Raw genomic sequence first — 13036 nt, 5'->3', positions numbered from 1 at the left:
AATGAAGGATGCTAGAAGACACTAGAATACAGGCTTCAAAATATGAAAGTAAAATTATTTTGGACCTAGAATTCTATATCCAGCTTAAGAATGAGAAAAATACATCTTCAACATCTTATGGTTGCAAAAAAGAAAGAAGGAAGAAAGGAAGAAAGGAAGAAAAAGAAAGAGAGAGACAGAGAAAGAAAGAAAGAAACAGAGAAAGAACCATAAAATAAGAAAAAAAACCATAATTTTCAGACAATCAAGGGTTCAGAATATTTACCTCACCCATACATTTTCTAAAGAATTTACCTGGGCTAGGCATGATAGCTCACGCCTATAATCCCAGCACCTTGGAGGGCCAAGATGGGACAATCACTTGAGCCCAAGGGTTCAAGACAAGCCTGGGCAATATAGTGAGACCCCCGTTTCTACAAAAAATAAGAAAATCAGCTGGACACAGTGGTGCATGCCTGTAGTCCTAGCTACTTAAGAGGCCGAGGTAGGAGGATTGCTTGGGCCTGAGAGGTTGAGGCTGCAGTGAGCCGAGATTGTGCCACTGCACTCCAGCCTGGGTGACAAAACAAGATCCTGTCTCAAAAAAAAAAAAATCTATATGTATATCTATATCTATCTATATCTATATATATCTATATCTATCTATCGATCTATCTATATACATAGAATCTATTTACATATATATAAATTTCCTGAGGATGTACTCCCTCAAAAGGAGGTGGGAGGGAAAAATTGGCAAAAACCAAGAAAGACAGAACTATGAATTATAGAAAAGTGTACAGCCAACCAGAATGTTGATGAAAAGAATTCCCTGGATAGGAAGTCTACTAAAAGTCTTGAAAGCAATTATAGAAAACTACTGAGTTTCAAGAAGATTGTCTTAAGGAGAACAAGTCTGAGAAATTAATAAAATTTCTACAGAGCTGGATGATATTTGGAATATAGTCAGAGAGATGTATGTTCTTTCTTCTACAAGAAAATATGGAAAGAATCAAAACTCATGGAAATAAAATTTGTACAAGAGCATTATTATATAAATAGAATACCAAAGGAAGATAAATTATTATATCAAAAATACACCTGTACTCATGTTTATTGCAGCACTAGTCACAATAGCAAAACCATGGAATCAACCTAATCGGCAACAGATAATTAGATAAAGACAATGTGGTGTATGTACACCATAGAATACTATGCAGCCATAAAAAGAATGAAATCATGTCTTTTGAACCAATGTGGATGGAGCTGGGGGCCATTATTCTAAGTGAACAAACTCAGAAACAGAATATCAGATACCGCGTATTCTCACTTGTAAGTGGGAGCTAAACAATGGGTACACGAGGACATAAAGACTAAAATAATAGACACTACCTGTAATACCAGCATTTTGGGAGGCTGAGGCAGGCAGATCACTTGAGGTCAGGAGTTGGAGACCAGCCTGGCCAACATGGTGAAACCCCATCTCTCCTAAAAATATAAAAATTAGCCAGCAGTGGTGGCAGGTGCCTGTAATCCCAGCTACTCAGGAGGCTAAGGCAGGAGAATCACTTGAAGCTGGGAGGCGGAGGTTGCAGTGAGCTGAGATCACTGCATTGCAGCCTGCCCAACAGAGCGAGACTCCATCTCAAAAAAAAAAAAAAAAATAGACACTGGGGACTCCAAATTGGGGGAGGGAGAGAGAGGTGAGGGTTAAAAAATTACCTATTGGTGCGGGGAGGAGCCAAGATGGCCGAATATGAACAGCTCCTGTCTACAGCTCCCAGCGTGAGCAACGAAGAAGACGGGTGATTTCAGCATTTCCATCTGAGGTACCGGGTTCATCTCACTAGGGAGTGCCAGACAGTGGGTGCAGGTCAGTGGGTGAGCGCACCATGCGCGAGCCCAAGCAGGGCGAGGCATTGCCTCACTTGGGAAGCGCAAGGGGTCAGGGAGTTCCCTGTCTGAGTCAAAGAAACGGGTGACGGACGGCACCTGGAAAATCGGGTCACTCCCACCCGAATACTGCGCGTTTCCGACGGGCTTAAAAAAACGGTGCACCACGAGATCATATCCCGCACCTGGCTCGGAGGGTCCTACGCCCACGGAGTCTCGCTGATTGCTAGCACAGCAGTCTGAGATCAAACTGCAAGGCGGCAGCGAGGCTGGGGGAGGGGCGCCCGCCATTGCCCAGGCTTGATTAGGTAAACAAAGCAGCCAGGAAGCTCGAACTGGGTGGAGCCCACCACAGCTCAAGGAGGCCTGCCTGCCTCTGTAGGCTCCACCTCTGGGGGCAGGGCACAGACAAACAAAAAGACAGCAGTAACCTCTGCAGACTTAAATGTCCCTGTCTGACAGCTTTGAAGAGAGCAGTGGTTCTCCCAGCACGCAGCTGGAGATCTGAGAAGGGGCAGACTGCCTCCTCAAGTGGGTCCCTGACCCCTGACCCCCGAGCAGCCTAACTGGGAGGCACCCCCCAGCAGGGGCACACTGACACCTCACACGGCAGGGTATTCCAACAGACCTGCAGCTGAGGGTCCTCTCTGTTAGAAGGAAAACTAACAAACAGAAAGGACATCCACAGGAAAAACCCATCTGCACATCACCATCATCAAAGACCAAAAGTAGATAAAAACCACAAAGATGGGGAAAAAACAGAACAGAAAAACTGGAAACTCTAAAAAGCAGAGCGCCTCTCCTCCTCCAAAGGAACGCAGTTCCTCACCAGCAACGGAACAAAGCTGGATGGAGAATGACTTTGACGAGCTGAGAGAAGAAGGCTTCAGACGATCAAATTACTCTGAGCTACGGGAGGACATTCAAACCAAAGGCAAAGAAGTTGAAAACTTTGAAAAAAATTTAGAAGAATGTATAACTAGAATAACCAATACAGAGAAGTGCTTAAAGTAGCTGATGGAGCTGAAAACCAAGGCTCGAGAACTACGTGAAGAATGCAGAAGCCTCAGGAGCCGATGCGATCAACTGGAAGAAAGGGTATCAGCGATGGAAGATGAAATGAATGAAATGAAGCGAGAAGGGAAGTCTAGAGAAAAAAGAATAAAAAGAAATGAGCAAAGCCTCCAAGAAATATGGGACTATGTGAAAAGACCAAATCTACGTCTGATTGGTGTACCTGAAAGTGATGGGGAGAATGGAACCAAGTTGGAAAACACTCTGCAGGATATTATCCAGGAGAACTTCCCCAATCTAGCAAGACAGGCCAACGTTCAGATTCAGGAAATACAGAGAACGCCACAAAGATACTCCTCGAGAAGAGCAACTCCAAGACACATAATTGTCAGATTCACCAAAGTTGAAATGAAGGAAAAAATGTTAAGGGCAGCCAGAGAGAAAGGTCGGGTTACCCTCAAAGGGAAGCCCATCAGACTAACAGCAGATCTCTCGGCAGAAACCCTACAAGCCAGAAGAGAGTAGGGGCCAATATTCAACACTCTTAAAGAAAAGAATTTTCAACCCAGAATTTCATATCCAGCCAAACTAAGCTTCATAAGTGAAGGAGAAATAAAATCCTTTACAGACAAGCAAATGCTGAGAGATTTTGTCACCACCAGGCCTGCCCTAAAAGAGCTCCTGAAGGAAGCACTAAACATGGAAAGGAACAACTGGTACCAGCCGCTGCAAAATCATGCCAAAATGTAAAGACCATCAAGACTAGGAAGAAATTGCATCAACTAACGAGCAAAATAACCAGCTAACATCATAATGACAGGATCAAATTCACACATAACAATATTAACTTTAAATGTAAATGGACTAAATGCTCCAATTAAAAGACACAGACTGGCAAATTGGATAAAGAGTCAAGACCCATCAGTGTGCTGTATTCAGGAAACCCATCTCACGTGCAGAGACACACATAGGCTCAAAATAAAAGGATGGAGGAAGATCTACCAAGCAAATGGAAAACAAAAAAAGGCAGGGGTTGCAATCCTAGTCTCTGATAAAACAGACTTTAAACCAACAAAGATCAAAAGAGACAAGGCCATTACATAATGGTAAAGGGATCAATTCAACAAGAAGAGCTAACTGTCCTAAATATATATGCACCTAATACAGGAGCACCCAGATTCATAAAGCAAGTCCTGAGTGACCTACAAAGAGACTTAGACTCCCACACATTAATAATGGGAGACTTTAACACCCCACTGTCAACATTAGACAGATCAACGAGACAGAAAGTCAACAAGGATACCCAGGAATTGAACTCAGCTCTGCACCAAGTGGACCTAATAGACATCTACAGAACTCTCCACCCCAAATCAACAGAATATACATTTTTTTCAGCACCACAACACACCTATTCCAAAATTGACCACATAGTTGGAAGTAAAGCTCTCCTCAGCAAATGTAAAAGAACAGAAATTATAACCAACTATCTCTCAGACCACAGTGCAATCAAACTAGAACTCAGGATTAAGAATCTCACTCAAAACCGCTCAACTACATGGAAACTGAACAACCTGCTCCTGAATGACTACTGGGTACATAACGAAATGAAGGCAGAAATAAAGATGTTCTTTGAACCCAACGAGAACAAAGACACAACATACCAGAATCTCTGGGACGCATTCAAAGCAGTGTGTAGAGGGAAATTTATAGCACTAAATGCCCACAACAGAAAGCAGGAAAGATCCAAAATTGACACCCTAACATCACAATTGAAAGAACTAGAAAAGCAAGAGCAAACACATTCAAAAGCTAGCAGAAGGCAAGAAATAACTAAAATCAGAGCAGAACTGAAGGAAATAGAGACACAAAAAACCCTTCAAAAAATTAATGAATCCAGGAGCTGGTTTTTTGAAAGGATCAACAAAATTGATAGACCGCTAGCAAGACTAATAAAGAAAAAAAGAGAGAAGAATCAAATAGACGCAATAAAAAATGATAAAGGGGATATCACCACCGATCCCACAGAAATACAAACTACCATCAGGGAATACTACAAACACCTCTACGCAAATAAACTAGAAAATCTAGAAGAAATGGATAAATTCCTGGACACATACACTCTCCCAAGACTAAACCAGGAAGAAGTTGAATCTCTGAATAGACCAATAACAGGAGCTGAAATTGTGGCAATAATCAATAGCTTACCAATCAAAAAGAGTCCAGGACCAGATGGATTCACAGCCGAATTCTACCAGAGGTACAAGGAGGAACTGGTACCATTCCTTCTGAAACTATTCCAATCAATAGAAAAAGAGGGAATCCTCCCTAACTCATTTTATGAGGCCAGCATCATTCTGATACCAAAGCCAGGCAGAGACACACCAAAAAAAGAGAATTTTAGACCAATATCCTTGATGAACATTGATGCGAAAATCCTCAATAAAATACTGGCAAACCGAATCCAGCAGCACATCAAAAAGCTTATCCACCATGATCAAGTGGGCTTCATCCCTGGGATGCAAGGCTGGTTCAATATACGCAAATCAATAAATGTAATCCAGCATATAAACAGAGCCAAAGACAAAAACCACATGATTATCTCAATAGATGCAGAAAAAGCCTTTGACAAAATTCAACAACCCTTCATGCTAAAAACTCTCAATAAATTAGGTATTGATGGGACATATTTCAAAATAATAAGAGCTATCTATGACAAACCCACAGCCAATATCATACTGAATGGGCAAAAACTGGAAGCATTCCCTTTGAAAACTGGCACAAGACAGGGATGCCCTCTCTCACCACTCCTATTCAACATAGTGTTGGAAGTTCTGGCCAGGGCAATTAGGCAGGAGAAGGAAATAAAGGGTATTCAATTAGGAAAAGAGGAAGTCAAACTGTCCCTGTTTGCAGACGACATGATTGTATATCTAGAAAACCCCATTGTCTCAGCCCAAAATCTCCTTAAGCTGATAAGCAACTTCAGCAGTCTCAGGATACAAAATCAATGTACAAAAATCACAAGCATTCTTATACACCAACAACAGACAAACAGAGAGCCAAATCATGAGTGAACTCCCATTCACAATTGCTTCAAAGAGAATAAAATACCTAGGAATCCAACTTACAAGGGATGTGAAGGACCTCTTCAAGGAGAACTACAAACCACTGCTCAAGGAAATAAAAGAGGATACAAACAAATGGAAGAACATTCCATGTTCATGGGTAGGAAGAATCAATATCGTGAAAATGGCCCTACTGCCCAAGGTAATTTGTAGATTCATTGCCATCCCCATCAAGCTACCAATGACTTTCTTCACAGAATTGGAAAAATCTACTTTAAAGTTCATATGGAACCAAAAAAGAGCCTGCATCACCAAGTCAATCCTAAGCCAAAAGAAAAAAGCTGGAGGCATCACACTACCTGACTTCAAACTATACTACAAGGCTACAGTAACCAAAACAGCATGGTACTGGTACCAAAACAGAGATATAGATCAATGGAACAGAACAGAGCCCTCAGAAATAACGCCGCATATCTACAACTATCTGATCTTTGACAAACCTGAGAAAAACAAGCAATGGGGAAAGGATTCCCTATTTAATAAATGGTGCTGGGAAAACTGGCTAGCCATATGTAGAAAGCTGAAACTGGATCCCTTCCTTACACTTTATACAAAAATCAATTCAAGATGGATTAAAGACTTAAATGTTAGACCTAAAACCATAAAAACCCTAGAAGAAAACCTAGGCATTACCATTCAGGACATAGGCATGGGCAAGGGCTTCATGTCTAAAACACCAAAAGCAATGGCAACAAAAGCCAAAATTGACAAATGGGATCTAATTAAACTAAAGAGCTTCTGCACAGCAAAAGAAACTACGATCAGAGTGAACAGGCAACCTACAAAATGGGAGAAAATTTTCACAACCTACTCATCTGACAAAGGGCTAATATCCAGAATCTACAATGAACTCAAACAAATTTACAAGAAAAAAACAAACAACCCCATCAAAAAGTGGGCGAAGGATATGAACAGACACTTCTCAAAAGAAGACATTTATGCAGCCAAAAAACACATGAAAAAATGCTCATCATCACTGGCCATCAGAGAAATGCAAATCAAAACCACAATGAGATACCATCTCACACCAGTTAGAATGGCAATCATTAAAAAGTCAGGAAACAACAGGTGCTGGAGAGGATGTGGAGAAATAGGAACACTTTTACACTGTTGGTGGGACTGTAAACTAGTTCAACCATTGTGGAAGTCAGTGTGGCGACTCCTCAGGGATCTAGAACTGGAAATACCATTTGACCCTGCCATCCCATTACTGGGTATATACCCAAAGGACTATAAATCATGCTGCTATAAAGACACATGCACACGTATGTTTACTGCGGCATTATTCACAATAGCAAAGACTTGGAACCAACCCAAATGTCCAACAATGATAGACTGGATTAAGAAAATGTGGCACATATACACCATGGAATACTATGCAGCCATAAAAAATGATGAGTTCATGTCCTTTGTAGGGACATGGATGAAATTGGAAATCATCATTCTCAGTAAACTATCACAAGAACGAAAAACCAAACACTGCATATTCTCACTCACAGGTGGGAACTGAACAATGAGATCACATGGACACAGGAAGGGGAATATCACACTCTGGGGACTGTTGTGGGGTGGGGGGAGGGGGGAGGGATAGCATCGGGAGATATACCTAATGCTAGATGACGAGTTAGTGGGTGCAGCGCACCAGCATGGCACATGTATACATATGTAACTAACCTGCACAATGTGCACATGTACCCTAAAACTTAAAAGTATAATAAAAAAAAATTACCTATTGGTTACAATGTTCACTATTTGGGTGAAGTGTTCATAAGAAGCCCAGATCTCACCATTACACAATATACTCATATAACAAATCTGCACATATACCCCCATAAATCTAAAATTTAAAATAAATAAATAAATAGAAAGAAAGAACAAAAGATCTTTAGTTCTTTAGGAAGAACTAAAATATGGTATAATTTTGAGCAATTAGAGGAGTCGGGGGAAGTACATTTGGCTCTGATGCTAGAAATGTTCTCTTTGACTAGCAAAGGGATTGTGATATTAGGCCTGGAGAAAAGAAAATGCACGCTCCTTAGTCCTGTACTAAACAATATCAACATAACATAGATGTTCATTTCTGGCTCTTAATTTTTAGAAACTCTCATAGACAAAGCATAGAAAACTGAGTGGCTACAAAACAAAATGTACATGTTCTCCACACTCACCGTGTAAAAAATAAAGGTTTAGCTTGACAGAAACAGGGAGATGAAAAGGGAAGAAAAACAGGTTGGGAAGGAAATACCTTCATTTTGCAAAACGGGGGGTCAAGAGATGCAGTTGAAAGCAACAGAACAAGAAATAGTAGTTTATATCTATTCTTTAAATGTATGTGGTAAGCAGTAGAGGAAGTTTAAAATACTAATATAGCTATCAAAAATTGGGAGGAGAGAGGAAGGGAAGGTAGGGGTGGTGCAAGTGAGGGAAATCCTCATGTAGCCCATTGGGAGAAATGGATAATGTCTCCAGTTGACATAGCACTAAGAGTGGCCTTAGCCTATTATTTTGAGGTATGGAGGTAACCTTCAAAGGTAAAACTGAAGAGAATTAAAAGTTCTTGCCTATAGGCATCGGGAGGAGGGACAAAGAGTGTTTAGGGGAAAATGATTGGTGATTCTTGTCATAAGTCCTTTCTGATGTTTTTACTATTACTACAAGAAAATATTTTTCAAAATTAAAAACAAGTTTTATTTCACTGCTTTAGACTAGGCAGGGTTCTGATAGGAAACAGATTATATTCTCAACCCAAGTAACTGAGCAGAATTTTAACAGGACCATTTGCAATTGTGTGGGCAGGCTAGGGTAGGGAAACCTACAAGGCTGGCACAGTAGCCACCAGCATTAGGTTGCATTGACCACCCCTCGTCCTCAAAGGCCAGGAAAAGGAAGTCTCTGCTGAATTTGGCAAGAGAGTGGCTGTATGGCAAGGGATGTCTGACAAGAGCTGAGGCCTTTGCAGAGGACATGATGACCCATGGTAACCACACAGGGAGAGGTCCCAGGGAAATAAATAATCTTCTTCACCCTGCTTTTCCTCCCCAGGATTCTCTTGTTGCTTCTTACTGGCCAGACCCAACCAGAAGCCAGAACTGTGCTGCCCAGTAAGAGAGCCACTAGCCACACTTAGCTATCTAAGTTAATCAAAATTAAATAAGGTTAAAAATTTAGTTCCTCAGTGCTCAATAACTGGTGGCTAGTGGCTGCCATCCTGGACAGGGTAGACATAGGACATGTTCATCATCAGTAAACGTTCTACTGGGCAAAGCTAATAAAGGGTAAAAGAGGGTCAAGACCTTGTTCATGAAGCTTATCCTCTGGGGCACAGAGGAAAAGGAGAAGGATGGTGAGTGGATCTGGGGGGACAAACAGAAGATGTGCAGCATGTACAGCACATTGAAATGCATCTTGCAAGATGCTCTATTAAAATATAATAAAAAACTGGAGTTTGGGAGTGTGTGTCAATGGTCGAATAAATGTGACAAACTGTACATACTGTTTCATTCTCATGGACACTCAAGATATACATCAGCCTAGTAACAGCTCTGGGAAATCCTGGAAATCTATTTAATGTTTGTTTAAAAATAGGTGTTTCTCAAACATTTTTGGCTAAGAAACTTCTTTTCTTAATGGGAAGGGTTACAATATCAATTCACAGAGCTCTTTTGATAATGGACATTTATCATTTGTCGACTTCCAAGATCCAATCATTCTCCTTATTTGGGATGGGGGATCCCAAAGGAGACAGGAAGGTTGGATCTTTCTCCCCAGCACAGAAGCTGAATAGTAGCCAAGAAGCCTGCTACTTGGGGGGCATCAGATCCCCCTCAGCCATGCTGTGGTTATGAAAGGCACCACTCAGATCTCCTGCTCTGGGGGTATGATTGACAGCTCCAGCTGCTGCCTTCCTGATCCATCCTTGAGTTCACACCACCGTTGCCCTGTTGCTTCCAGCAAGCGACTGAGGGCAGCAGGGATATTAAGAGGCATGCCCCCTCCCGCAGACATGGGCCCCTTTGAAGACATCTTTGGCTTGAGGACTACTCGATGGCCCGTCTAAGACCTTCCTGCAGCCTGAGACACCCCTACACACTCTCTCTTCCCATGCCCCATTTCCCAGGTCTTACACCTGTACCTGTACTTAAAAGCTCTCCCTGCCATTCTGGCTTCCTCTCCTTTTTCCTTCACAGGCATTTCCCCCAGTAACTCTCCCACAAGTCTAATCATGTCTTAGGGTCCACTTTCTGGAAGACCAGAACCAACACAACTCATCTGGATCTTGAGTAGTGACTCCAATATGTGGGAACACACAGAAATAATCCAGGCCAGAGTCTAACGACATGGGGGGGTGCAGGGGCAGGTTTCTTGGATGCAGCTTGTTTGGCAGGTCCAGTGTTTTCTTTTAGTTTGCTTTCACAGAATCTGAGTGTCTTTACGTGTGGTGTGTGTTCTGCCCCAACCCCCACTACCCACTATTATCTTACACCCATGAAAACTAGTTGTTCCTATTACCTGCCTGACACATGCAGGTATTTGAACTTGAAATCTCTAACTTAATGTGTACATCTGCCTAGGCGGTGAGAAATCACACCAGATTGCTCACAGCTTTTCAGAATCCTAGCCCAGTGACCCATGACTCCCACCCTCTGCCCACTGTTTTACCATGATTCAGAGGCCATTATGTTTTAGGCAGTGTAATTGCTCCAGTTATCTTTTGCCCTCTTCATTGGGCCTGGCTTCAGTTATTTTACCTCTATGTTAGAGATTCTCTTTGAGACACCTCTAAGTACCCACTTTCCCCTCAGAACCTAATTTCTGGTTTCCAAGCCCTGGAGACATCATCCCTGAGTATCTTCTGTCTTCTTTTCTCATTAAGCCCATCCCTACTGCCTGCCTCATGTCTGCCCCATGGTCTACCCCTTCAAGCAGCCCCTGCCAGTGAAATTCACCTCACCATGGGCAGCTCTTATCACTTTGACCCTTAGCATGAATCCTAGCAGTCTCTGACTACACTCTCATTACATGGTATGTGCCTTTATATGGAATGGATAGAATTCACCTGCAGTGAATTTTAGGTAGAGCTTGGACATTATATTAGACATCATTGAATCTTATATTGAGAAAATAATTATTTTTTCAATTCTGATTATATCAAAGAGAAAGTCTTAGTTTGATGCTAGTCTGGTGGTTAAAAACACCACTCCAACTCTTTCTAATTTCCCTTTTCAATAAAGAACAAGGTGGCCTCAGACTCAGGGGCTTGGGCCAACAACATTGGTCAGAATTTGATCATTGTTATTGTACTTATTTTTGTCATTATACTTATTTTGTCATTACCTCCTATGGCAGGGATATTTGTTTTCCTTTAGAGTATTGATTTAAAGTTTATTTTTAAAGTAAGTTTATTTAGGGAAACAGTAAATCACTTTAAGAAAATATTGCTAATAGCACTAGTGGTATTAAACCATTGCAAAAATCCTGAAAGGGACAGATAGATAAATCAAACAGGAGGAATATCACCCCAATCAACCTGCATAGCCACAGTTCCATGCCTATGTGCCTTCCATCTGGGTGCCACTAGGTGATCCTTATTGATGAAGCCTGTTTGAGTTGGGTTTCCTTTTCTTTCCTTTTTTTTTTCTTTTTTTCCTTTTTTTTTGGAGTTGGAGTCTCACTCTGTTGCTCAGGCTGGAGTGCAGTGGCACGATCTCGGCTCACTACAACCCCCGCCTCCCGGGTTCAAGCAATTCTCCTGCCTCAGCCTCCCGAGTAGCTGGGATTACAGGTGCCTGCCACCACGCCCCATTAATTTTTGTATTTTTAGTAGAGAAGGGGTTTTGCCATGTTGGCCAGGCTGGTCTCAAATGCCTGACCTCAGGGTGTCACCTGCCTCGGCCTCCCAAAGTGCTGAGATTACAGGCGTGAGCCACCATGCCCAGCTAAGGTTTTCTGTAACTTACAACATAAACTAACCTTAATGCCTAGCACTAGGCATAGAACAGGTGCTCAATAAATATTGTCAAAAAATAAATATAAATACAATATGGAATGAATAATAGAAGACCTAATATCAGAACTGTTATGTGGTAATACAGTCGTCCCTCAGTATTCAGAGGAGTTGGTTCCAGGACCCCCTGAGGCTACCCAGATAAACAGTTTCTCAAGTCCCTTATATAATACGACGTAATATTTGCATGTAACCTGCACACAACCTCCCATATACTTTAAATCATTTCTAGAACACTTATAATACCTAATGCAATGCAAATGCTATGTAAAGATTTATTGTATGTTTTATTGTTGGGTTGTTATTTTCATTGTATTGTTTTCTCAAATATTTTTGATTCACAGTTAAAATCCTGGATATGGAGTCCGAGATATGGAAGGCCAATTGGCTGCCAAAGAAATGGGAGAGACAACACGTGCGGTGGCTTCAAAGGAGGAGGGAGAGTTGAGTTTAAACTAATGAAGTAAAGGCAGGGATGGGAGACTGAAAGGAAGGAAGACGCTGACACTTCTTCAGTGTGATTGTATGCCATACACTGTGCTGGGTGCTGTTAATACAACAACGCTTCTGGCTATGTACTGTTTAACCCCATTAGAAATAAAGCAACAGGAGTTCAGAGAATTTAAGTAACTCGATTTAGGTCACTCAGCAATTAGCCAGGCCAGACATATACCCAGGCTGAAGGATGGCCAAGCTCATTAAGTCAGGCAGCTAGAATTGAGACCAGTGGTGAAATAGAATGAGAGCATTGATATGAACGTGGTTTATACACTTTTAAGGGCTACGAAGATCATTCCAGAGGAATGAAGGAACAAGGAGAGAATTGTGTCAACAAAGACTGGCACATGGCAGGATTCCACTCACTTTCCACAAACTTTGAAGGAAGAAGTAGCTAATTGAATCTGAAGTTTCATTCACTAGAAACTAATAGAGAATTTACAATAATTTATCCTGGATGGAAAGTAAGATCCATCATGTACATGTTAGACAAGAGAAGCATTTGATCCCTTATCTTCCTAGT

The 13036-nt window shown here is 41.6% G+C and overlaps 1 long non-coding RNA gene across 1 annotated transcript, besides 1 other annotated feature; it reads left to right on the top strand.

Moving 5' to 3' along the window:
• Positions 1–1702: 1702 nt before the first annotated feature.
• LOC124907879 (uncharacterized) lies at positions 1703–12636 on the top strand. The gene is made up of 2 exons (XR_007087211.1): positions 1703–1808; positions 12360–12636. It is a non-coding gene; the product is annotated as an uncharacterized LOC124907879 (long non-coding RNA).
• Positions 1922–2595: an enhancer, noted in NCBI's record as "OCT4-NANOG-H3K27ac-H3K4me1 hESC enhancer chr2:118899713-118900386 (GRCh37/hg19 assembly coordinates)". NCBI's record gives its function as "activates a minimal SCP1, AML or CMV promoter by ChIP-STARR-seq in naive and primed H9 embryonic stem cells {active_cell/tissue: H9 hESC(naive and primed)}" and the evidence as "EXISTENCE:reporter gene assay evidence [ECO:0000049][PMID:30033119]".
• Positions 12637–13036: the final 400 nt, after the last annotated feature.

The sequence above is a fragment of the Homo sapiens genome, chromosome 2 (genome assembly GCF_000001405.40).
Source record: "Homo sapiens chromosome 2, GRCh38.p14 Primary Assembly".
NCBI lineage: Eukaryota > Metazoa > Chordata > Mammalia > Primates > Hominidae > Homo > Homo sapiens.
Note: the sequence above shows the minus strand (reverse complement) of the source record. Positions and strands in the feature narration are given on the sequence as shown.